At 48.6% G+C, this 25,556-nt stretch overlaps 1 protein-coding gene across 1 annotated transcript, besides 1 other annotated feature; it reads left to right on the top strand.

The window, feature by feature from the left end:
* Positions 3,068-3,207: an enhancer, noted in NCBI's record as "active region_29290". NCBI's record gives its function as "activates an Ori minimal core promoter by ATAC-STARR-seq in GM12878 lymphoblastoid cells {active_cell/tissue: GM12878}" and the evidence as "EXISTENCE:reporter gene assay evidence [ECO:0000049][PMID:35858748]".
* FCN1 (ficolin 1) lies at positions 10,311-24,991 on the top strand. Its single transcript, NM_002003.5, has 9 exons — positions 10,311-10,454; positions 11,762-11,875; positions 13,414-13,467; positions 13,803-13,838; positions 14,610-14,642; positions 15,080-15,207; positions 15,608-15,737; positions 16,956-17,090; positions 18,178-24,991. The coding sequence occupies exons 1-9, from the start codon at positions 10,352-10,354 to the stop codon at positions 18,423-18,425; spliced, it is 981 nt and encodes a 326-aa protein (NP_001994.2). The 5' UTR covers positions 10,311-10,351; the 3' UTR covers positions 18,426-24,991.

The raw sequence follows: 25,556 nt of genomic DNA, 5'->3' as shown, positions 1-25,556 counted from the left end.
TCTTCTGCCTGCTTTATTCTAGCCGCGCTCATAGCTGATTAGATGGTGTCCATCCAGATTGGGGGTGAATCTGCCTCTCCCTGTCCACTGACTCAAACGTTACTCTCCTCTACCAACTCCGTCACAGAAACACCCAGGAACAATACTTTGCATCCTTCAATCTAATCAAGTTGACACTCAGTATTAATCATCACAAGTCCACCCCCTGTCAACTTGAACCCATACACATTCTCCTGGTATCATATGTAATTTTCAAATAAAGACAATAATAAAGTCATAATTACACCTAACATAATATAGCTGTCCTTCGTACAACTGGAAGCACACTAATCCTTAACCTAAATGATATTATATAAAGTTAACAACACTTAAATGTTGATATGAAGTCAATAAATCTTATGTCACATGGTAGAAGGAAAAAGAAGAAATAAAGTGAAGATATTTTCTTAGTACAAGGGTATACATGCACAAACATATTCCTAATAAAATAAGGAGGAAATACTCATGACAATTACAGTCCTCATTTCTGCACCTAGTCACGTGGTTGTAGCTGGTACTGATGACTACCTTCTTCTACTACCTGTTCTGTATTCCCTTTGCCTTCAGCAGGCACCTCAGCGGGTTGTGGTTCTTATTTTTTATTTATTTATTTTTGAGACGGAGTTTCACTCTTGTTGCCCAGGCTGCAGTGCAATGGTGTGATCTCGGCTCACTGCAATCTCCACCTCCCAGGTTCAAGCCATTGTCCTGCCTCAACCTCCTAAGTAGCTGGGATTACAGGCATGCGCCACCATGCCTGGCTAATTTTTCGTATTTAGTAGAATCAGGGTTTTGCCATGTTGGTCAGGCTAGTCTCGAACTCCTGACCTCAGGTGATCCACCCACCTCGGCCTCCCAAAGTGCTGGGATTACAGGCATGAGCCACCGCACCTGGCCTGGGTTATGGTTTTTTACCTGGTGGAGTGACTCAATCCTTCATTCCTGAAGGGTCTGGGCCAACTGGAGTCCTGCCTGGACTGGGCTGTTGTAGTTTCCCATTGACCTTAATTACAGGGCAGGAGGTCCCATTGACCTTAATCACAGAGGAGACACCCTAAGAAATCTGTACTCCATGCATACTCTTCCTTACCTCCGCTGTGGAGCAGTAGACTGACTTTATCTCGATGGTCTGGGTCAATCACCCCAGCCAACACTGTAACTCCCTTCTTAGGCTGTTGACTTAGAGGCAGGAGGAGGTCCTGTCCCAAAGTGTCCAGATGGCAATCTTAACTTCCAGTTTAATGGAATCATTGTGGTGTCTCCTGGTGGCAGCGTTCCTCCCTCTGGAACTAAGACCTCTAGGCCAGCAGAACATAATGTTGCGGGAACAGAAAGCAAACATTTTGCTAGTGGGTCACTAGGGGTGATGGTGAGTGGTGCCACTTCCACTTCCACTGCTTGATTCCTGGAGCCATGAATCCTGGCTATGGGGAAAATAGTATCATATATTTGATGCAGGTTCAGAGCATACACAGCCTCCTGGAGAACTTTGCCCCAGGCTTGCAAAGTATTGTCACCTAGCTGGCGTTGTAATTGTGATTCCGAAAGGCCATTTCACCATTCTTTTTTTTTTTTTTTTTTTTTTTTGAGACGGAGTTTTGCTCTTGTTGCTCAGACTGGAGTGCAATGGTGCAATCTTGGCTAACCACAATCTCTACTTCCCGGGTTCAAGCGATTCTCCTGTCTCAGCCTCCTGAGTAGCTGGGATTACAGGTGCATGCCACCATGCCCGGCTAATTTTTGTATTCTTAGTAGAGACAGGGTTTCATCATATTGGTCAGGCTGGTCTCCAACTCCTGACCTCAGGCGATCCGCTCACCTTGGCCTCCCAAAGTGCTGAGATTACAGGCGTGAGCCACCGCGCCTGGCCCATTTCACCATTCTATCAATCCAACTACTTCAGGACAATGGGGAACATGGTAAGACCAGTGAATTCCATGAGCAGGAGCCCACTGCCACACTTCTTTAGCTGTAAAGTGAGTGCCTTGGTCAGAGGCAATGCTGTGTGGAATACCATGATGGTGGATAAGGCATTTCGTGAGTCTATGGATGGTAGTGTTGGCAGAGCACTGCGTACAGGATAGGCAAACCCATATCTGAAGTGTCTATTCTAGCGAGGACAAATGGTTGCCCTTTCCATGATGGAAGAGGTCCAATATAATCAATCTGCCATCAAGTAGCTAGCTGATCACCCTGGGAAATGGTGCCGTATCAAGGGTTCAGTGTTAGTCTCTGCTGCTGGCAAACTGGGTACTCGGCAGTGGCCATATCCAGATCAGCCTTGGTGAGTGGAAGTTCATGTTGCTCAGCCCATGTGTAACCTCCATCCCTGCCATAATGGCCACTTTGTTCATGGGCCCACTGGGCTATGACAGGGGTGGCTAGGGAAAGAGGCTGAGAGGTGTCCACAGAAGAGGTCATCCTATCCACTTGATTATTAAAATCCTCCTCTGCTGAGATCACCCATTGGTGAGCACTCACATGGGATACAAATACCTTCACAGTTTTTGACCACTCAGAGAGGTCCATCCACATACCTCTTCCCCAGATTTCTTTGTCACCAATTTTCCAATCATGCTTCTTCCAAGTCCCTGACCATCCAGCCAAACCATTGGCTACAGCCCATGAGTCAGTATACAATCACACATCTGGTCATTACTCCTTCCATGCAAAGGGCACAACCAGGTGCACTGCTCGAAGTTGCCCACTGGGAAGATTTTCCTTCACCGCTGTCCTTCAGGGATGTACTAGAAAGGGGATGTAGTGCGGCAGCTGTCCACTTTCGGGAGGTGCCTGCATATCATGCAGAACCATCTGTGAACCTGGTCTTCTCTTTGTCTGTCAACTGATCATAGGGAACTCCCCATGAGGCCATCGGTGCAGGATGGGGGAGAAAAGGGAGGGTGGCAGGAGTGGAGACCATGGGCATTTGAGCCACTTCCTCATATAACTGACATGTGCCTTCAGTACTTGATCAAGCCCAATCACGTAGATATTTGGTGATGGAATGCTGCTGTACGTGACCCACTTTATGGCTAGATGGGTCAAAAAGCACCCAGTTCATGACATGCAGTTCAGGTCACATGGTGGCTTGATGACCCATAGTCAAACTTTCAGTTTCCATTAAAGCCCTGTAACAGGTCAAGAGCTGTCTTTCCCAAGGAGAGTAGTTATCTGCAGAAGATGGCAGGGCCTTGCTCAAAAATCCTAGAGAACTCCACTGTGATTCACCTATAGGGGCCTGCCAGAGGCTCCAAACAGCATCCCTATCTGCCACTGACACCTCAAGCTCCATTGGATCTGCTGGGTCATATGGCCCAAGTGGCAGAACAGCTTTCACAGCAGCCTGGACCTGTTGCAGAGCCTTATCCTGTTCAGGATGTAGGTCAAAACTAGCAGCCTTTCTGTTCACTCAATAAATGGGCTGGAGTAACATGTCCAAATGAGGAATGTGTTGCCTCCGAAATCCAAATAGGCCCACGAGGCGTTGTGCCTCTTTCTTCGCTGTACGAGGTGCCAAATGCAGCAACTTATCCTTCACCTTAGAAGGAATATTTCGACAGGCCCTGCGTCACTGGACCCCTAAACATTTTACCGAGGGAAAAGTTCCCTGAATTTTACTCAGATTTATTTCCTACCCCCTAGCACACAAATGTCTCACCAATAAGTCCAGTGCGTTTGCTACTTCTTGCTCACTGGATCCAATCAGCATAATCTCATCAACGTAATGGACCAGTGTGATACCTTGTGGAAGGGAAAAACGATGAAGACCTCTGCAAACACGATTATGACACGAAGGTGAAGAGTTGATATACCCCCGAGATAGGACAGTGAGGGTATATTGCTGGCCTTGCAGGCTAAAGGCAAATTGCTTCTGGTAGGCCTTATGGACAGGAATGCAGAAAAAGGCATTTGCCAAATCAATGGCTGCATACCAGGTACCAGGAGATGTGTTAATTTGTTCAAGCAGTGAAACCACATCTGGTACAGCAGCTGCAATTGGAGTCACCATTTGGTTAAGCTTACGATCATCCACTGTCATTCTCCAAGATCCATTTGTCTTCTGTACAGGCCAAATGGGAGAGTTGAACAGGGATGTGGTGGGAAACACCACCCCTATGTCTTTCAAGTCCTTGATGGTGGGACTAATCTCTGCAACCAAGAGACTCTTCCCGTTGACTCTTCAACAGGAATCCAGAGTGTATGCTCCAGGACTCTTGAACCCTCTTCATCTCAAGGTACTGGCTGTACTGTGTGCACCCACCCAAAACTATTACATCGAAATCCCCTGACCCAGCCCTCTGGAAGATCCACCCTAAACCAGACTTGGAGCTCTCAAGAAGCTGGACCTTCCCTTTCCTTCCCTTCCTGATCTGAGGCACTGCTGTAGCACTCTGAGCTGGCACTGTCCCTCACTGTGGTGAGCCGGGAACTCAACTTTGTCCTGTCCACAGTTGTTGGGGATATTTGGAGAGTGTCATTTGAGTCTCTGCCATTCCTCCCGCATACGTGGAGTCCTGAACTAACGTGCCTGGGAGGGCTCCTCTGTGCAGTCATCTGCATGCAGCTCCTGGGGTGTGTGGACCCAGAGCAGGTGTGCAGCGAGCCCCACCCTCTCTCAGGTGGCTTCTTATTCCGTGGCATTGTCGCTGTATTACCTGAGCTTCAACAGGTGAGCACAGTGTGGCACCCCTATGGCAAGCATAAACCAGTTATAAGGATGTTTCTTGATTTCAGAAATAGCAAGGAACACCCGGGCACAGTGGCTCAAGCCCGTAATCCCAGCACTTTGGGAGGCTGAGGCAGGCAGATCACCTGAGGCCAGGAGTTTGAGACCAGCCTGGCCAACATGGCAAAACCTCGTCTCTACTAAAAATGCAAAAAATTAGCTGGGAGTGGTGGCAGGTGCCTATAATCCCAGCTACTCAGGAGGCTAAGGCAGGAGAATCGCTTGAACCCGGGAAGTAGAGGCTTCAGTGAGCCGAGATCACGCCACTGCACGCCAACCTGGGCAACAGAGCAAGACTCTGTCTCAGGAAAAAAAAACAAAACAGAAACAGCAAGGACCCCCAGGTCCACTAGAGCAGAGAGGAAGTACCACATGGCACACCCTGGGGGTGAGGAGGCCGCAGAGGCTGTCCTGGGGATGACTAACTCCAGGAGGAAGTGGAGCAGGACCCCTCTGGCTGCCCTGGTTGTAATCTCGAGGGGCAGGGTGCGGTGAGGGCATATCCCCAATGATCCGCACAGCAGCCTGTGACTGATCCTGTGTCATCTGCCAGAAGGACCCTTCCTGGGGCTTGGGCAGCCAGGCTTTTTGCTAGATTATATTTTCTTTTGGTTGCAGCCACACTTCTTCTCTTCATAATAAACTGTTGCATTTTACAGTGTGAGAGTTTCTGCCTTGCTGACCCATGGGGTCAGAACCCCTCGGGGGTGGGCATGGTCCAGGGGGAAGGAATTCCCTCTGTCCACTCTGACCAGCCCCACTCTGACCAGCCTCACTGGCTGGCCTCTCCCTCTGTATCCTTCCAAGGCTCATCTCAGGCTGCAGACCCAGCACGTGAAGCAACAGCCAGGCTAGGGGTTGCTCAACCTCCCAGAAGCCTGAGCTGCAACAGGGAAGTGAACCAGCAGGCATTCAACATCCCCAAACCTCCCAGAGACAGCTGGGCTATAGCTTGTGGTGGGAGCAATACAGGACGATGGTGACCCTTATGTGTTCTATTTATTTTACTTAAATAGTTTATTTAAGCTTGCTCTTTTAAGTGAAATTTAACACCCATTCACCAGAGTGCATAAACTAAACCTGCATCACCCAATGAAGCCAAAACCCATCTCCAGCCCCCCGTGCCCCTTCCAGGCCTAAGGGCTCCCCCTCCTAAGGGAGCGGTCGTCTCACTGGCCCCTGCTAAGGGAGCGGTCATCTCACTGGCATGGTCTGGGCCTTTTTCTCCACGTTGCCACCGAGCATGCATTCCTTCACACTGCTGTTCAGTTTTGCCCACTTTCAAACTCTGTACAGATGCAAATGAACAGTTCGCATGCCTTAGTGCTGGCGCCCTGGATGCTCCGTGTGCTTGCGGATTTCAACAAAGCTTTTGCGTGAAGCTGGAATCCGATCATTTTATGGGTCTACAGGATGCTCCAGTATGAACGAACCTCAGCTGACGGCCCCATTCTGCTGCGGATGGACGTTTGGGTTGTTTCCGGCGTGGGGCTGGACATTTTCACACGTGTCTTCTTTCCAGCTGGGCACACCTCTCTGTTGAGTAGAACTGAGCTGAACATCGCTGGTTATGGAATATGCTGGTCGTAGGGAATTGTTGGGAATACTGCCAGTTTTCCGAAGTGCTTGTACCAAGGTTTCTGACACTTCTTCACCAAAACCTTGCAGAGTTGGCTGTTTAGAAAAATTTTAGTGTCTGCAGTCATCTCATGAGATTTAAGTTTTCATTTCTTGGATTAGTTATGAAGTTGAGCATGTTTTCATACTTCCATCATCTATTAAATATTATCTTTTATAAGCGTTTGTTGAAGTCACTTTCCCACTTTCTACAACATCGTTGATTTACAGAAACCCTTTATTCTGGATACAAGCCTTTTGTCACTTCTGTGTGTTGAAACCTCTCTTCCCTCACCCTGGCTCGTCTTTTCCCTCCCACGGTGGTGTATTTTGAAAAAGAAATAATACTATTTTCATGATCAATTTTTCCACTTGTCCTTTATGGTTTGTGGTTTTCCATCTTATTTAAAATAACTGCAAGGCTATTGGAGATCTTATAATATGATCTAAAACTGCTGTTTTCCCTCTCACATTTGGGTCTACCCTTCTCCTGATGTGGATTTTTTTTTCATCTGATAAAAGTCAAGTGTAACTTCTTGTTTTTCCATATGACTCTCCAGTAGTTTGTGCCACTCATTGAAAGTTTATTCTTTCACTATTGCTCTTTAGAGCCACCATGTCATAAATCTAGGGTCCGTATGTGCCTGGATTTGCTTCTGCACTCCCTACTCACTTCCCTAGGTTTGCTGTGTACGCCTAAGCCAGCCCCACACTGTCTCCATCACTATCGCTTGATAATGACTGCTGGTGTCACTTCAAGCAACTCACCCTTGTTTTTTCTTGCTCAAGAATAGCATGGCTATCAGCCTCTTGCCTTTATATAAATTTTATTTATTTATTTATTTATTTGTTTATTTATTTAGACAGAGTTTCACTCTGTTGCCCAGGCTGGAGTGCAGTGGTGCAATCTCGGCTCACTGCAACCTCCACCTCCCGGGTTCAAGCAATTCTCCCACCTCAGCCTCCTGAGTAGCTGGGACTACAGGCATGTACCACCACACCCTGCTAAATATATATATTATATATTTTTTGAGATGGAATCTCACTCTGTCGTCCAGGCTGGAGTACAGTGGCTCGATCTTGGCTCACTGCAACCTCCGCCTCCTGGGTTCAAGCAATTCTCCTGTCTCAGCCTCCTAAGTAGCTGGGTTTACAGGTGCCCACCATCATGCCTAGCTAATTTTTGTATTTTTAGTAGAGACAGGGTTTTACCATGTTGGCCAGGCTGGTCTTGAATTCCTGACCTCAAGTAATCTACCTGTCTCAGCCTCCTAAAGTGATGGGATTACAGGTGTGAGCCACTGCACCCGGCCCTTTATATAAATTTTAAATTCACCATGTCAATTGTCACAGAAAATGGTAGTTTAATTGATAATACAGTGGATATTTAGATAAATTAAGAGAAGATGAATGTTTTTCCTATATTTGGTATTCTAATCCACACATATAGAATATCCTTCTAATTATTTTAATCTTCTTTTAGGTCTTTCTGTTCCTATTTGATAGTTTTGTACACAGAAGACCAGCATGGATGTTGTTAGACTTATTCACAGTTATTTGAATTTGGTGTTGCTGATGCAAATTTTTTAAATTTCATTTTTAAATTCTTTGAGGCTAGTTTTTAGAAGCACAATTGATTTTTGCTAAACTTTTTATTCTGCTAGTTTATCTGTAGAAACTCTAGAATTTTCTACATCCTCAATCATGTCTTCTGAAAATAACAACTTTGTGTCTGCCTTTCCAATCTTTTTATGGTTTTGTTCTCTTGCCTACTGCACTGGACAGTGACATGCAATACAATGTTGACCACAGTGGTGATGACAAGCATCCTTATTTGTTCTCAGTCTCTGAGGATGGTTTTCCATTTTTCCTGTTAATTATGTTGTAACTTCTGTATCCACAGCTTCCAAAGACCTCTTTCTATATTCTGTTGTTTCTGTTGGTCCTTATACACATTGTCTTTTATTCCCATGAGCCTGGTTATCGTTGATTGTGTTTTAACATTTCATTTGAAAAAAATAAAACACTTTGCAGAAATAATGACCTGGGATGATGTCATTCTCCTTCAGAGAAGATTTTTGTTTCTTTCAGCAAGGAGCCTGGGGGCATGAGCAATAATTCCAGGAGTTGAGATTCCTTTCCTGGGACACTTAGATGTCTCAAAACCAGTTTGCAGCCCTTGTGAATGTTGGTTGTTGCTCACTCATCCTATTGCTAGGGTGCAGCCCTTCTGAAAGCCAACCCCAAACCCATACCTTTGGCAGGCCGTAGGCCCCAGTCTTTGACCTTCAGCTCTGCAAGATGGTGAAATCACTGCCCAACTTCTCACCTCTCTTTTGGAGATTGGCAAATCCCTGTGCAAAAAGAGGTCCCCACTACTAGTTTCACTTCTCTAAGATTTCTGTGGCTCCTGAGAGCTTGGCAAAGTAATCCTTTACTACATAGCTAGCTTGACGGTGCCTTCGAGCAAATCTCTTTTTAAAGGTTTTGTCTGTTTGTCCTTAATAGGATGCCCCCAAATACCTAAACTGCCATTGCCAGGAATCAAATGACTTTTGTTGATCCAATGTTAAGATATTTTAACTTGCCAGAATCTTGCATTCTTTCATACTCTTGGGAACATTGACTTGATATCTGAAGGTGGTGTTGACTTCTCACCTGAAATAAACCTATTGATGTTGCAAGGAAGAGGAGGTCCCCTCACACCCAGGGGGCAGCTGGCAAATGGAATTGAGGGGCACAGACCTGCTGGCTTTCTCCCTGTTCTGACCCAATCCCAGGTGAGTGCTGCTCCTGAATTGGATCCTCTCCAAGAAAGGAGGCCGCACCACTGACACCCAGACCTCTCCCGCCTGGGCCAGTAGCTCAGGGACACTAAGCGGTGTCTGAGGCAATGAAGCCTCCTGCCGTTGTCTCTCAACAGGCTGGAGCCAACACACACAAACACACACAGTCGAGAGTCGTTGTGGTGCCCAGAGAGCCTGGACACAAGGTCCTGTGTCTCCTGGATCCCCCACCCCTGGGCCGCCCCTCCACTTCTCTCCCACCTGGGGAGCCCTTGAGTTTGGAAACCCAGTCTACACACGCTGGCTCAGAGAAGTTGCAAACCACAAAACAACACCTCTCCCTGCTCCTTAGTCCTGCTACCATCTGACTCTCGTTAGTGACTATTTCTATACGTTCTAAAAATCCCGCACAAAGTGTCCACAGCGTGGCCTGGCTAAGCATGATTCACAGCACGAGATGCGGAGTAGGAACATGGCCTCAGGGATTTGGGGGAACAAGAGGCATCCCCACCTTCAGGTGAAATGAGCAATCCCAGTGATCTACAAGGCGTTAGACAGAATTGAGTCCAATGCCTGGCTCTTACTAGTGGAGTGACTTCAATTTCTCCAGCTGTAACTTTCAAATAATTTACTCCACCGAATGGGGCTGGTGCAAGATGATATGATGGAAATAGTATTTGGGACATAACAAGTGCTCAACATTTTTTTCCTCTCCATCCATGATAAGTGCCTGATGACGGACAAACCCTGAATTTTCTGGGAACAGATGAGGCAAGGAAGCGTCTTCAGCAAAACCTTCCTTATCCCCCAAGGTTAAGGTCAAGGTTTCCGAGTATTGCTTGGGGACAGCTGGGGAATGGAAAGGGGGTGTGGGGGCTGTGTTCTCCTTAAGCCACAAGCAAAGCCGATGCTTTCCAGCAGAGGAGTCTCAGGAGCTCTCTGGACTGGGAGCAGGGTGTCTTTGCTGGGGGAAGAGAGCCCAATGGGGTGGGCATCTTGCTGGAGCCTAGTGGAAGGAAACATCCTTTGAGATGACCTCATACCTCCTGTTGGTGCAACTAAGCAGCCCATAGGAAGTGGGTGTCCCCCAGGGAGTTGAGAAACTGTGGCACAAGGCGAGAGCTGGTTTCCTCTGCCCTGTTAGAGCTGGGGGACTCTTCAGAGTCAAAGGCCAGAGAGCATGGAGCTGAGTGGAGCCACCATGGCCCGGGGGCTCGCTGTCCTGCTAGTCTTGTTCCTGCATATCAAGAACCTGCCTGCCCAGGCTGCGGACACATGTCCAGGTGAGACAGACCTGGGTTTTCTGGTCCCTAAAAGCTGGTAACAACCCCACTCACTGACACTCGGGTGTCCCAGGCAAAACCTTTTATGCACATCTTCCTGTGAAGATGCCCAACAGATCTGTTTTATCCTCAGGCAAGGACATGGAGGCTCAGGGCAGCTGAGGCATTGCCCAGGGTCATGGAGGGATAGGGGAGGGATGTCACCAGGTCTGTCTGCCTCGAAAGCCCAGGATTTGCCCATTGGAGCTTCATAGGTGGGTCTGGAATCTGTCACTGAGAAGGAAGAAAATACTGTTGACTTTATCTTCTTACGGGCTTACCAGGGAGGCACTCTAAGACCCTCTAATACGGTGGCTGCCACACGGACTTGGGGGGTTTGTTAAAAAGGCAGATTTCTGGCTCTCCTCCAAGAGAGTCGGAATCAGTTGATAGGGACAAGGGTTTGAACGGTGGTAAGGTGTTTCCCTCACTGATTCAGGAGCAGGTGGTTCTGTGACGCTCAGCAAGAGACTGCTCCTAAGGACGGCCTGGTGCCCCTGGCTGATAACATATTTATGAAGGAAACATAAATAGTAAATTACAGCCTGCTCTAGTGGAAGGAGGACTGGAAACACAGAAAGGAAATACCCCAAAAATGGCAGTGCCATGTCTCCGGTGAGAGCACTGCTCCGTTCCATGGTCTCTAAGAGCGCCCTTAGCAGGGCGTGTAGATTTTGTAATGAACAAAATGAAAAATATTTTTTCAAAGAAGTAAACAACTTTGGTTTGGCTGCAGCTGTGCCACACCTGGCTCTGTGTCCTTGGACCCCACACTGCCCCTCTCCAGAGGACCTAGAAAGCCCCTTCCAGCCCAGTAATTCTACAACCACATTCCCAAGGTCTGGGAGGGAAAATGCTTTGTCAGCCCCAATTCCCCAAGTTTCTTAGAAATATTGATTGTCATTAGTTATTGAAAGTGCCCGCTGTTTATTAAGCTCTTTCTAAATGCCATAAATTACAATAAGAGATTTAAAATGCACATTCTTTAACCAAATCCTGGCCGCAACCTTGTTATTATCCCCGCTTGGCAGCCCAGGGCACAAAGCTCAGAGGAGTTAAGTTACTTGCTGCAGGACACACAGCACTGAGGAGATGGGGCTCCCCTAGGTCGGGGTGGCCTCCAAAGCCAGAGCTCTGCCCCCCATCACATCTCCGCCTCACCAGTGCCTGAGGGGTGAGGACAGACCAAGGCCCCAGCAGAGCAGAAAACCTCACTTCCCAGCCACTGTTGGGCCAGGCACTGAGTGGGCACCTGTGTTTCTCTGCAGAGGTGAAGGTGGTGGGCCTGGAGGGCTCTGACAAGCTCACCATTCTCCGAGGCTGCCCGGGGCTGCCCGGGGCCCCAGGGCCAAAGGGAGAGGCAGGTGTCATTGGAGAGAGAGGTAGGTGCGGGCCGGGTGGGGAGGCCAGGCATGGCAGGGGCACTGGCTCTTGCTCTTTATGAAACTGGATGCAGAGTTGGGCAACACCCCCACCGTGGTTCCTAGATCAAGAGCCTGGGTCAGGCCCCTGCTAGAGCCAGGAACAGAGCTGACTCCCAGGGCCCAACAGGGTTCTGAAATGGAGGGAGGGTCTTTCCTAACTATTTCATGAGCTCACATTTGGACATGCTTCTGTAGCTCTGTCTCCTAGTCCTTGATCCAATACCAGCTTTGCTCAGCTACTGGCACGACTTCTAAGCTCTGTGTCCCTCCACCTTCTCACCTGAAAATTGAGGTGACCGCTTTCTTCTGCACCTGCCTCATATGGGAAAACTGAGACTCAAAGAGGTCACAGGCTTTCCTACTTGACAAACCAGTAAGGAGTGGGGCTGGGACTTGGACTGGTCTACTTCAGGGCACAGAGGGCACCCGAATCCTGAGCCCTGAGCTCTGCATGTGGATTTGCAGGGAACATGGGAGAATGAACAGCAGGCACCTGCCTTGGGTGGTTTTGGGTCCCCCTAAGCATGGCATAAGGCAGACGTGCACAAAAACTCAGAAAGGGCGCTGCCTTAGGGGGTGAGCTCCCCATGCCTGGACGCATTCAAGATGATGCCTGCGGAGCACTTGGTGGGGATGTCCCAGTGTAGATGGGACAAGCTCAAATGTCCCTATGACTTGGACTTTCACTGACGTGTCTAGGCTTCCGTGTGGGTGTCCGGGGCCAGGTCCTCTGTGCCCACTCCGCAGGCTGGACCTGAGAGTGCGGTCCCGATCCCCTGCTGAGGGAACACTGGGGAGGAAGACCTTCCCTGGCAGGAGAAGAATCAAGTCTGGCTCAGACTTCCCTTGAACCAGGCTTCTACCAGTGGGCATGGCTGGCTAATATACCCTAAAGCAAGAACCAGCCCCCATACACTCTCCCCAGCCACTGGGGTCAGCGAGCGGGCTGGGGGCTGCCTCTTGGCTGGCATCGGGGACGGGAGGGTCACCTTTCTGGCCAGAACCACGTGGAGCGCTGTGTGACACCCCAGGAGCTCAGGCGCACGGTGGAACCGGATCCTCCCTGGCAGCAGCGGCTGCACGTGGCGCCCACCCTCTCCGTGTGGGGACGTGGTAGGATGAGGCTCTCTGAGGACGCATTCTTTGTTCCAGAACCTGGTCCCTTGCTAGGCAGTAGAGCTCTGTGTGGGTGACTTGGGTCCAGGCTTATGGTCAACAGAGTGTGAAACCCAGGTTGCTCCCAAGGCACAAACAGGAGCAAGGTGCACCTTGCCTTGAGCCCAAGGTGGGGTGCAGGCCCCTCCCTCAATCCCTCACCTCCATCTGCAGTCACCCCCAGGCTAAATCCATGGCTAGCAATTCTGAGAGCTCCTGGAACCAGAAGGGGTTCAAGGCAGAGTGGGGGAGGGTCAGGACTTAACCACTTGGGGCAAAGATTTCCAGGGAGAATTGTTTAGGTTGCATTTTTCTCAGTGATATGTCTTTGGAATTTTCAGGAGAACGCGGTCTCCCTGGAGCCCCTGGAAAGGCAGGACCAGTGGGGCCCAAAGGTAACCAGGGGACAGACAGCGAGGAGGCCTTGAGCAGGGACCTTGGAGCTGTCTGTAATGAAATGAGGGAGGGAGAGACAGAGACAGAGACACAGACACAGACACAGAGAGACACGGCAACAGAGAGAGAAAGACAGTGGCAGGCGGACAGGGACCCTGGGATATTCCAGGCCTCGGGGCCCCTCCCCACCATTGAGACCTGGGCGTTGTGATGCCTTAGTGAGCCTGCAGGGCTGGGGAGATGCAGTGTCCAGGCCGGGAGCCCACTCTGGACCAGCCTTTCCGTGGCCCACACATCTGGGGTCAAAAGCTCATTATCCTGCCTCTTCCTCCAGGAGACCGAGGAGAGAAGGGGATGCGTGGAGAGAAAGGTGAGCCACCCGTGGGCCCAGGCAGTTGTCTCTGCAGGCTTTGTCCAGGGGAGGGGTCTCAGAGGCCTCAGTCCGCCTGCCCACCGCCCACGTCCCTGTCAATCCAGGCTGTGGGCAGGGAGGGGTGGAAGGAGTCCAGCGGGCTTTGTTGTCAGAATCCACGAGGGCTCAAACCCTGGTGTCTACAGCAGTCACTCCCAGTGGCCAGCAGGACCACATCAGTGCATAGATGGTGACACTTCAATATTTCAATTTCTGTCTTACTTATGCTCATTTATGCAAAAATTGTAAAAGTTTAAAAAAGCCAAATGTGCAAGACTCTAATACACTGTACCACGCTCCACCCACAAACACAAATGAAAACCGGAGCCGGGGGCTGAGGGTCCGCCGATACCTGAGTCCCAAGAAACAGAGGCCAGGGCGGAGGCAGGGCAGGCTTGGAGTGACCCTGCCAGGCTTGAAGAGTTATTCCGCTGTTATCAGTGGCGAAGGCCCCACTAGGGGTCCAGTTCGTCCAGCAGGACCCGCAGCGCCTGCCACAGCCCACCAAGCTCAAGCTGCACAGCAGGGGCCTATGGACAACCATGTGGCTGGTGCCTCTGGGGAAGTCGAGTCTGGCCATCCTTCCCTAGGCCTGTGCCACGTGTCCTGGAGACATCAGAGGAGCTGCCTTTGCCCATTCTCTATTCTGTGCTCAGGGAGCCACTGGGGCTGACCAGGACAAAGGCTCTGATTTCAAGCTTATGACAAGTGTCTCCTCTCCCCACACAGGAGACGCTGGGCAGTCTCAGTCGTGTGCGACAGGTGACTGATCACACCCTGACCTCGGTACCCAAGCCTTGCCCCCACCCCTGGGGCCAGCTGCACACGTTCACGCTACGGAATCTAAGGACAGAACCCTGTCTGCACCTATCATCCCCCCCTCAATCACTCGAGTAATGGGCAGCTATCACCTGAATCCCTTCCATGACAACCTGGGCTCTACTATTATCTACCCTAGAAGGCCGGGTGCCCAGGAGGCAAAGGTGGGGCAGACACTGGGAGGTGGGAGGGTCGGCAGACTGGGTGTGGGCATCACAGCTGCGTGGCCCTGGGGGCCGTGTCCCTGTCCAGGCCTCGGAGTCCTGCTCGGTCCGCACAGAAGCCTGTGGCCCTCCTCCTCCCTCCTGGGCCTCCCTCCCACTGCCCCTGTCCTGCCCAGGGCCCCCGTCCTGCAGCCATTCCCCGGGTTCCCTTCCCAGGCCCACGCAACTGCAAGGACCTGCTAGACCGGGGGTATTTCCTGAGCGGCTGGCACACCATCTACCTGCCCGACTGCCGGCCCCTGACTGTGCTCTGTGACATGGACACGGACGGAGGGGGCTGGACCGTGAGTGTGGGGCTGGGCAGAGGCGGTCAGCCTGGGAGTCCCGGAGGCCAGGCTGCACACCTGGTTGTAGAACACACTCTGGAATTCTCTATTCCCCTGGATGGGGACAATCATAGATGATGGGGGAAGTGACCCGTGGGTAAAAGTCCAGGCCATCGGGGAGGCTGGGAGGGGACCGGTGCTCTCCTGCTGTGTGGCTTGGGGCTTGTTGCCTCTCTTCTCTGAGACCGCATTTCCTCTTTCATCCTGTGGAGTCTGTGAGGAGACCAGATGGGCGTGCGTGTGGCACCGGCCTGTGATGCTCTGCCAACTACAAATGCTGCTCCTCTGGAGGGCGGGTCCCCGGTGCTGTGGGACCTCGGCCTGCCCCGCCTAACTCTGTATCCTGGCTTCTTCACAGGTTTTCCAGCGGAGGATGGATGGCTCTGTGGACTTCTATCGGGACTGGGCCGCATACAAGCAGGGCTTCGGCAGTCAGCTGGGGGAGTTCTGGCTGGGGAATGACAACATCCACGCCCTGACTGCCCAGGGTAGGGCCACTGCCGTGGCTCAGGGGTTGGGGGGCCCTGAGGTGCTCCTGCCCCTTAGGCCTGGGCCATCTGCAACATAAGCACCTCTTGGCCCACAGGGGATTGGGCCCTGAGCACACTCAGGTGGCACTGGGACCTCTAAGGGCTGCGTCCCCTGCCGCAGGCTCTGGCAACATCGGGAAGGGAAACGGTTAGAGCCCTGGGCTGAAGGCCTCTTCAGGTCTTGGTCCTACTGGCATCTTAGATCCTGAGAGTGGGAAGCAGGAGAGAGACCACTGGGGCTTGGGGTAGCCTTCCCCCATCTCCAGCTGTTGATCTGCCTCTGAAGCTGGCATCTTAGTCCCATGGAGAGCCCACGCTCGCCTCCTCCAGCCCACGCCTCAGCAGGCCCCCCACAGCCGCACTCACCTGAGTGAGAGGGCCTCCCCCCAACCCTCTGGGGCAGGGGATGAGTTTCACAGCTGGTCCTGAGGCAGTCTGTATAATTGCTGGTCCATTATCCCTGCCCACTGCCCTGTGGCATGATTGAAGGAATCCACTCAGGTGCCTCAAATTCCTGCAAAAGAAACTACAATTAGAGCTTCGCCCACTGCTGTGTTAGTGGCTCACCAACCCTTAGAAGGAGAAGGTACACTTTCAAAATGAAAGAATGCTCCCTTCCACCCAGTGAACTCCAGTGGGGCATGTTCAGTTCTCTGAAATAACGGGAAAGGTGTTTAGAAACAGAAAGCCATCCCTGAGGGCCTGATAGCAACAAGGGATTTTCTGACATTTCCGGTTGATTTTTTTCCTGGATGCCACGTTCAGACATCCCTTAAGAATATATCCATCCCCAGCCGGGCACCGTGGCTCACACCTGTAATCCCAGCATTTTGGGAGGCTGAGGCTGGTGGATCATGAGGTGAAGAGATCGAGACCATCCTGACCAACATGGTGAAACCCCATCTCTACTAAAAATACAAAAAAAAAAAAAAGTAGCTGTGTGTGGTGGCACACACCTGTAATCCCAGCTACTGGGGAGGCTGAGGCAGGAGAATTGCTTGAACCCAGGAGGCGGAGGTTGCAGTGAGCTGAGATGGTGCCATTGCACTCCAGCCTGGGCAACAAGAGCGGAACTCTGTCTCAAAAAAAAAAAAAAAAAAATTACCCATCCCCAGCCCTCATGCCTGGTGACAGAAAGATCTTAAAGGCTGGGGCCTTAAAATCTTTTTCCAACAGGAAGCAGCGAGCTCCGTGTAGACCTGGTGGACTTTGAGGGCAACCACCAGTTTGCTAAGTACAAATCATTCAAGGTGGCTGACGAGGCAGAGAAGTACAAGCTGGTACTGGGAGCCTTTGTCGGGGGCAGTGCGGGTGAGTGTCTGCTTGGGGCTGGTGGCCTGAGTGGGGCTTGGAAAGCAGAGAGAACCTGGCTCTGTCTCCCCTGGTGACCTTGGGCCCTCCTCTCTCTGAATCCCATTTCTCCATCTATGAAGCAGACACTAGCATTTGTGTCTCTGTACAGCGTGGGGCTCACAGGACATAGCGGCTGGTATTCCTAAGGCTATGTCTGCCGCACAGTGAGCTGCCTGGGCAGGGCTGAGACGACCCACCAGCATCACTGCTGAAACCTGGAAGACGTCGTCCTTTTCTCATGGGTGCCTTGGAGCTGTTTCCCAAACTGTGCTCCATGGAACACCAGCCTTGTGGGACATTCTTTACCAAAAGGAGTCTCTGGCTACACGATCTGGGGAGGCATTTCCTACAGGGCGTCTGCTTAGGGAATTCCCAGTGCACATCGTTCGTGAAAGGCACTGAGAATTGCTGCAGCTGGAAGTCTGTGTAACTAACTGCTCCATGGAGCAAGGCAGTCCCAGGGGAGCCTTGGAAATGACAGCCTTGGAGTCTGTGCAGTCCTTTCACAGGCACGATCTCACGCATGACCTCCAAGGAAGGCAGCAGGGCAGGGAAGGTCACCCCCATTTTGCAGGTGGTAAAACCGAGGCTCAGGGGGTGACATTTCTCAGCTATAGGAGCCAGGGATGAGCTTCCGGCTCAGGGCTTGAGATAGAGGAGAAGCCCCCAGGTGAGGGCTGTCCTGAACCTACCAAGGGCCACCAGGGGACGTGGGGAGAGACCGGAAGGAGCGGCGCAGGCTGGAGGAGGGAGGTCATTCCAGGAGAGAGCAGGAGGCCTGACAGTTTGCGGGAGCCCTGGAGGAAACAGGTGGTTGCTGGAGCAGGGGCCTCAGGTTGTGGAGAGAGATTTCCAGACCAGGTTGCCAGAGGTTGCCTCCTGCTTCCCCTTCCTCCAAGGCCTGGGTGGGTCATTTGTGCACCTGTAGCTCGGCTCATGCGTCGCTAAAGTGAGGTTGGCTCTGCTCAGAGGCAGGATGTGGTGAGGGTCTCACAGTGGCAGGGCTTTTTCCAGCATCTGCAAACCCCACATTTTCTGTGAGCAGGTAATTCTCTAACGGGCCACAACAACAACTTCTTCTCCACCAAAGACCAAGACAATGATGTGAGTTCTTCGAATTGTGCTGAGAAGTTCCAAGGAGCCTGGTGGTACGCCGACTGTCATGCTTCAAACCTCAATGGTCTCTACCTCATGGGACCCCATGAGAGCTATGCCAATGGTATCAACTGGAGTGCGGCGAAGGGGTACAAATATAGCTACAAGGTGTCAGAGATGAAGGTGCGGCCCGCCTAGACGGGCCAGGACCCCTCCACATGCACCTGCTAGTGGGGAGGCCACACCCACAAGCGCTGCGTCGTGGAAGTCACCCCATTTCCCCAGCCAGACACACTCCCATGACGCCCACAGCTGCCCCTTTGCCCCCAGCTCAGTCAAGCCGCCACATGCCCACAACCTCACCAGAGGGAGAATTATGTTTCTAAATATGTTTACTTTGGGACAGAAAAGTTTTACCAGTTTCAATGTGTGTTTCTTGAACACCAGTGGTTTTGATCACTTTCCTGTGTCTGTTGCACGGCAGGTCTTTCCCTGGAATTTGGTAAGTCGGGAAGAGTCAGGACCCTTATTTAGCAGATGGCACTACCGATGTTCAGGGAGGTTGAGTGACTTTTGCGAGGATTTTCCACCTCCAGTAATTGACACAGGGCGATCCTCACCTCCACCCCCAAGCCTCCCCCATCCCCCCATGCCTCACTCACAACACTTCACACTTCTTGAAAAAGGTCACTTTGGGGTCCAGAAAACACTTACTAAAAAGGGGGAAAGTTTAGTAGGAACTTTTCTGCTTCCCACCACGGCAGAGTTCATGCTTTGGGCTGGCTGGCTGCTGGGAAGAGATAAACACTTAGCACTCACTAAGTGAGCGCCTGGTCAGCCACCTGCACAGAGAAGATTCCGAAGAGGCCTTCCTCCCACACACAGACCTCAGCTAGAGGGGACCGCGGACCTCAGTGGGAAAAGCTGCACAAGGCTTCTAGGAGATGATGGAGAAGGGGCTTCTCCAGCTCCCAGGCCAGGGGAGATTTCTCAACCACGACCTAAGAAGCATCAAAGGGAATGTGGCAAGTGTGACTCCATTCAAATCAAGAGCTCCCACTTACCGAAGGACACTAAGGGAACCAAAGGAAGGCCAGAGGGGCAGAATCAACGTGCGGCACACAAATCTTTAGTTTTCTACTATTGCCGCAACCAGTCACCACAAATGGAGTGGCTTGAAACAACAAGAACTCGCCACCTCCTGGCTCAGTAGATCTGGAGTCCCTGGGCCTTACTGGGCCAGCAGGCAGGACTCAGCAGTGGTGGCTCCTTCCAGGGTTCTAGGGGAGAACCTGCTTCCTTGCCTTTTCCAGCCCCAGGGGTCACTGGCATTCATTGGCCCGGACTCCTTCCCCCAACCCCAAAGCCAGCAGCACCACATCTCTCTGACCCTTCATCCGTTGTCCCCTCTCCCCCCAAGCCCCATGGGACAGGGTCTCCACTCCTGAGACTCATGGGATTAGACTAGGCCTACCTGGATGATCTGGGATCCTCTCCCATGTCCAGGTCTCTATCCCTAACCACATCAGCAAAGTCTCTTTTGCCATGGAAGGTATTTGCAGGCTCTGACTTTGTGTGTATTAGGGCAGGACATTTTTGGCGGGGCAGTGGTGGGGGCAGGGAATTATTCTGCCTACCATGCCTTATACAAAAATAAATAAATCACAGGCTTATACCTGAAAGAATTCCTGCAAATAATAAAAGAATTAGAGCAGCTCAGTTAAATAAAAAAAGGTATGAGATGTGAACAGACACTTCACAGAAGATGACATGCAGGGGAGCAAGGTATTTATCAAAAAGTGCTCCACTTTTCACTTACCAGAGAAATGCAAATCAGCACCCAAAGGAGTCACTGCGGCACCCTCATCTGAGCCTCAGAAGTTAGAAAGATGGATAGCACCAGTGTCAAAGGTGACTGTGGGAGGGAGATTTGCATACACTGCTAGTAACAATGCGAATTGATGGAACCAACCTGGAAAATGGCTTGGCATCAACTGTTGGAGAAGAAGACACACAGTCCTCTAACCTGCCAGTCCCACATCAGGGCCTGGATATGGCCGTCATGTGTACCAGGGAGCATGGCCAGGAATCTTTACAGCCAAATACTCACCATAGCACCAAACTGGAATCAGCCGACATACCCATCAGGAAGAGAATGGATGTTAAAAAATGCAAGGATAGCCATTGGGTAGAACGCCATACAGCCATGACAATTACACAGTGACACCTACACACAAGGAGCATGAGTCTCACAAACATGGCAGCAAAAGGAGCCTGTTCAAGAGGGTATGTGCTATGGATTCCATTGTAGATAAAGTTTTTCAAAAGCAAAAGTAGCCAATGGTATTTTGGATGCATATTTAGGTGGTAAATGTATACAGGAAAAATAAGAAAGTGATTGTATTTGAGGGTGGGACCACATGGTGACTGGGAAGGGACAGGGACAAGCCTCTGGGGTTCTGGCAATGCTCTGTTTCTTGACCCAGGTGGTGATTGTAAGGATGTTTGTTAACTAGTGATGAAAATAATTAAGCTGTACTTTTGCTTTATACACTTTTGAGTACATGTTATGTTCCACAATTTAAAAACTACTTATAAAGAAACTGCACATGCTTGGATCCAGGAACATGAGCTACAGGCACATCCTCCACTGATGCCCAGTGTTCTTGACTCAATACCTGTAAGGAGAGGTCCTTGTAGCCCATTGGGGGCTGACCAGACCCTACTACGCCCCTGCCACAATCTCTAGTCCATCACAAAATCCACTATTGGGATAGTACTTTCGTCCCTCAGTAGGTAAGCATTTTTACAACCTAGGAAGACTTAGCTTTAAGTCTAGAAATGATTAGTATAAATATAAAATATAAATATGATTAATATAAATATAAAATAGCCATAGAAATATGCCTTTTAGTTTGTTTTTTGAGACAGAGTTTTACTCTGCCACCCAGGCTGGAGTGCAGTGGCGTGATCTCAGCTCACTGCAATCTCCACCTCCCAGGTTCAAGAGATTCTCATGCTTCAGCCTCCCAAGTAGCTGGGATCACAGGCACACACAACCATGCCCAGCAATTTTTTTGTATTTTTAGTAGAGATGGGGTTTCGCCGTGTTGGCCAGGCTGGTCTTGAACTCCCGACCTCAAGTGATCCACCCGCCTCTGCCTCCCAAATTGCTGAGATTACAGGCGTGAGACACTGTGCCTGGCCAAAATATGCCTTTTGTATTAAGGAATCTGGACAGGTTTGATTTTTCACAGTCTTGTAATGTTTAAATAATTTGGCCTATTATGAAGAATCTCACAAATCCAATATAAAATGTGGAACTAACTAATCAAAATCATCTTGTAATATTACATGGAAATCTTAGTGCGTTTATACACGGTATTGGCATATTTAAGAGACTTTGAGCTCATTGCATTTCTAAGTTAAATTATTAGATTTCTTAAGATTTAAGTTAAATTATTAGATTTTTAAAGATTAATTAGTGCTAAGGAGGGTTTTCTCATTAGACAGCTGAAATGCCGCAGGAGAAATTTGAGTGTATTCCACTTCTTATTGCAATTTTAAATGTTTGAAGTTATTTAAAGAACTAAATTTATGGTATCCAAAAGCTCTAAAAAGGTGACTCTTAAGATTTGCAGGTCTTATAAATAGAAAAACAAGAACTGTAAGCCAAACTTAAAATATTCAGGATGAATTGAGTTTTTGAATTTGTAGCTTTCAGAAACTGAACATTAATTTTAAGAAGCAAAGCAGGCTGGGCACAGTGGCTCACGCCTGTAATCCTAGCACTTTAGGAGGCTGAAGTGGGTGGATCACTTGAGATCAGGAGTTCAAGACCAGCCTGGCCAACATGATGAAACCTCCTCTCTACTAAAAATACAAAACTCCGCCAGAAATCGCTTGATCCCGGGAGGTGGAGGTTGCAGTGAGCTGAGATCGTGCCACTGCACTCCAGCCTGGGGAACAGAGCGAGATTCCGCCTCAAAAAAAAAATAAAAATAAAAAGAAGAAGAAGAAGAAGGAGAAAGAGGGAGAGGGAGAGGGAGAGGGAGAGGGAGAGGGAGAGGGAGAAGAAGAAGAAGAAGAAGAAGAAGAAGAAGAAGAAGAAGAAGAAGAAGAAGAAGAAGAGGAAGAGGAAGAGGAAGAGGAAGAGGAAGAGGAAGAGGAAGAAGAAGAAGAAGAGGAAGAAGAAGAAGAAGCAGCAGCAGCGGCCAGGCGCGGTGGCTCACGCTTGTAATCCCAGCACTTTGGGAGGCCGAGGCGGGCGGATCACAAGGTCAGGAGATCAAGACCATCCTGGCTAACATGATGAAACCCCGTCTCTACTAAAAATACAAAAAAATTAGCCGTTCATGGTGGGGGATGCCTATCGTCCCAGCTACTCGAGAAGCTGAGGCAGGAGAATGGCGTGAACCCAGGAGGCAGAGGTTGAAGTGAGCCGAGATCGCACCACTGCACTCCAGCCTGGGCGACAGAGCGAGACTCTGTCTCAAAATAAAAGAAGCAAAGCAAGCTTATGAAGAGATGAAGAGTCTTTTCCCATCACCAATTCCTCCCCAACTCACATCAGCAGAACTGAGAGAGCTTTTGTGATTTGAGGGATAAAGCTGAATGGGTGAAAAGAAATCAAGCCCTCCTCCTCTTGGGCCAGTGCTCTTCTTCCTGGCCATGGGACCTCTCAAGTAGGAGTGTAGGCGTGGGCCCATCCAGCAACATTTGGGCATTCGTGGACATCCACATAGTGTTGTTTCTGTTCTTTTCCTCTCCTTCCTCATCTTCTCTCGTCTTTGTTGAATATTTTTATTATCCCGTCACCTCCTCTATCAGCTTATAACTTGTTCATTCTTTTCCTATCTTTTGGTGTTTATGCTTGCGATTGCAATATATAGCCTTGATTTTTTACGGTATACTATAAATTATTCCTTCTACCACTTTACCAATGAAGACTTTGAAACACCTCTAACTACATTCACTCCCTTCTGCTTTTTATGCCATTCTTGCCGCCATGCTATGATACATTTATTTAAAGTCCTGCAAGAAATGGCTATTAGTATTGTTTTGTGCAGTCCGTATTCATTTTTACCACATTTTTACACTTTATGTTGCCCTTTATTCCTTCTTCTATTTTATTATTATTATTATTTTTGGTGTGAGATCATCTTCTTGCTGCCTGACAAACTCCCTTTCATATATATTTTTTATTTTTATTTTTTGAAACAGGGTCTCACTCTGTCCCCCAGGCTGGAGTGCAGCGGTATGACCTTAGCTCACTGCAACCTCCACCTCCTGGGCTCAAACAATTCTCCTGCCTCAGCTTCCCGTGTAGCTGGGACTACAGGTGTGCACCACTACGCTGGGCTAATTTTTGTATTTTTTGGTAGAGATGGGGTTTCGCCATGTTAGCCAGGCTGCTCTTGAACTCCTGACCTCAAGTGATCCACCCGCCTCAGCCTCCCAAAGTGCTAGGATTACAGATGTGAGACACCGTGCCCAGCCTCATATATTTTTTGATGAAAGTCTGCTGAGGATGAATTCTGTCCACTTTTATTATCTGAAAACATCTTTATTTTGCCTCATTTTAAATAGTATTTAGATTGGGTGTAGACTTCTATATTGCCAATTAGTTTCTTTTAGCACTGTAAATACAGATGTCCAGTATTTTCAGATTCAGTTATTTCAGCTGAAAAGCTAGCTGAAAGTCTTGTTGCTCCTCTGAAGGTAATATGACTTTTTTCAAAAAATACATTTATAAAATTTTTTTTCTTTGCCTTGATAGTTTTACTACAAGGTGCCTGGATGAGACTTTCTCTGAATTTGTCTTGCTTGGGGTTCATAGAATCTGTGACTTGATGTCTTTCATGAGTTTTGAAAAATGCTAGCCATTATCTCTTAAATATTGCTATTACTCTACTCCCTCTTCTCTTTCAGATATTTCAGTTACACCAATGGCCAATGTTTGCTCGTGTCTCATATGTCTCTTGTTCTAGTTTCTGGATTTGTATTCTTTTTTCCTTTTCACATTCAGTCTGGATATTTTCTGCTGACCTATATTCCAGTTCACTAATAATGCTTTTCACTGTATCTAATTTGCTTATAAATAGAAAACCATTGATTGAGTTATTAATTTCAGTTATAGAATAGCCAGTGTAGACTCCAATGCTTGGCTCCACTTCTCCACTTTTTCACCTATTTTTTTCACCATCTTCCATTTTCTTCAACACACCAGTCAGAGTCGTTTTTAAAGACATTTTAAACACCTCAGTGGCCTGTAGATCTTATCTTCTGTTTTTTGTTTCTTTTTAATCTTAGTTTTTTGGCACACTTGGAGGGTTTTGATTGAATGCTAGACATAGTATTCAGGAAGGCAGAGAGGATTTTTTTTTAAGTCAGATTTTTTGAGGTATAATTTAATACAGTAAAATTCACCTATTTTAGTTCAGTTCTAAGAGTTTCCTCTGTGACTTTTCCTTTGGCCCATGGTTTATTTAAAATTGTGTTCTTTTACTTCCAAATTATTTGGGATTTTTCTAGATATCTTTCTGTTCTTGATTTCTGGCTTACCTCTATCAGGGTCAGAGAACAAACTTAATATGATTTCAATTATTTTAAATTTGCCAATGTTTATTTTATGGCCCAGAATATGGTCTATGTTGGTGAAAGTTCAATTTGAACTTGAAAAGAATATGTTTTATGCTGTTGTCTACTGAAAAGTCTATATATAAAAAATAGATTAATAAACTGATTAATAGCCTGGTTCACCACTTTCGTAGCCTTACTGATTTTCTGTTTAGTCATTCTGTTGATTACTAACAGATTCTCTAACAGAGAAGTATAAGCTTTCTAACTATAATGGTGGGTTAATCTGTTTCTCGTTTCAGTTCTAGCAGATGTTTCCTCAATTTTTGACGTTGCATTTTTAGGTGAATGCACTTCTGGAATTGTATTGTGTCCTTGCTGAATTGTCCCTTTTATCAACATGTAATAGCACCCTTTATTCTTGATAATAGTCTTTGTTCTGAATTTTACTTTGTCTGTTATTCCTATAGCCTTTCCAATTTTCTTTCGCTTGGATTTTACGTGATAAGTTTTTTCCCCCATTTTACTTTTAGCAACTCTATATTTTTTAGTTGAGGTTGGGTTTCTTGTAAACAGCATATAATTTGGGTTTTTTAATCCAATCTGAAAATTAATGTCCTTAATTTTGTGTTTATACCATTTACACATAATGTACTCATATATAAGGTTTAACTGAAACCTACTATCTTGCTAGTTGTGCTCTACTTGAATTTTTTTTTAGTATTCTGTTTTAATTGACCAACATTTGAC

Source organism: Homo sapiens, chromosome 9, assembly GCF_000001405.40.
Source record: "Homo sapiens chromosome 9, GRCh38.p14 Primary Assembly".
Lineage (NCBI taxonomy): Eukaryota > Metazoa > Chordata > Mammalia > Primates > Hominidae > Homo > Homo sapiens.
This window is presented reverse-complemented; position numbering and strand designations above follow the sequence as displayed.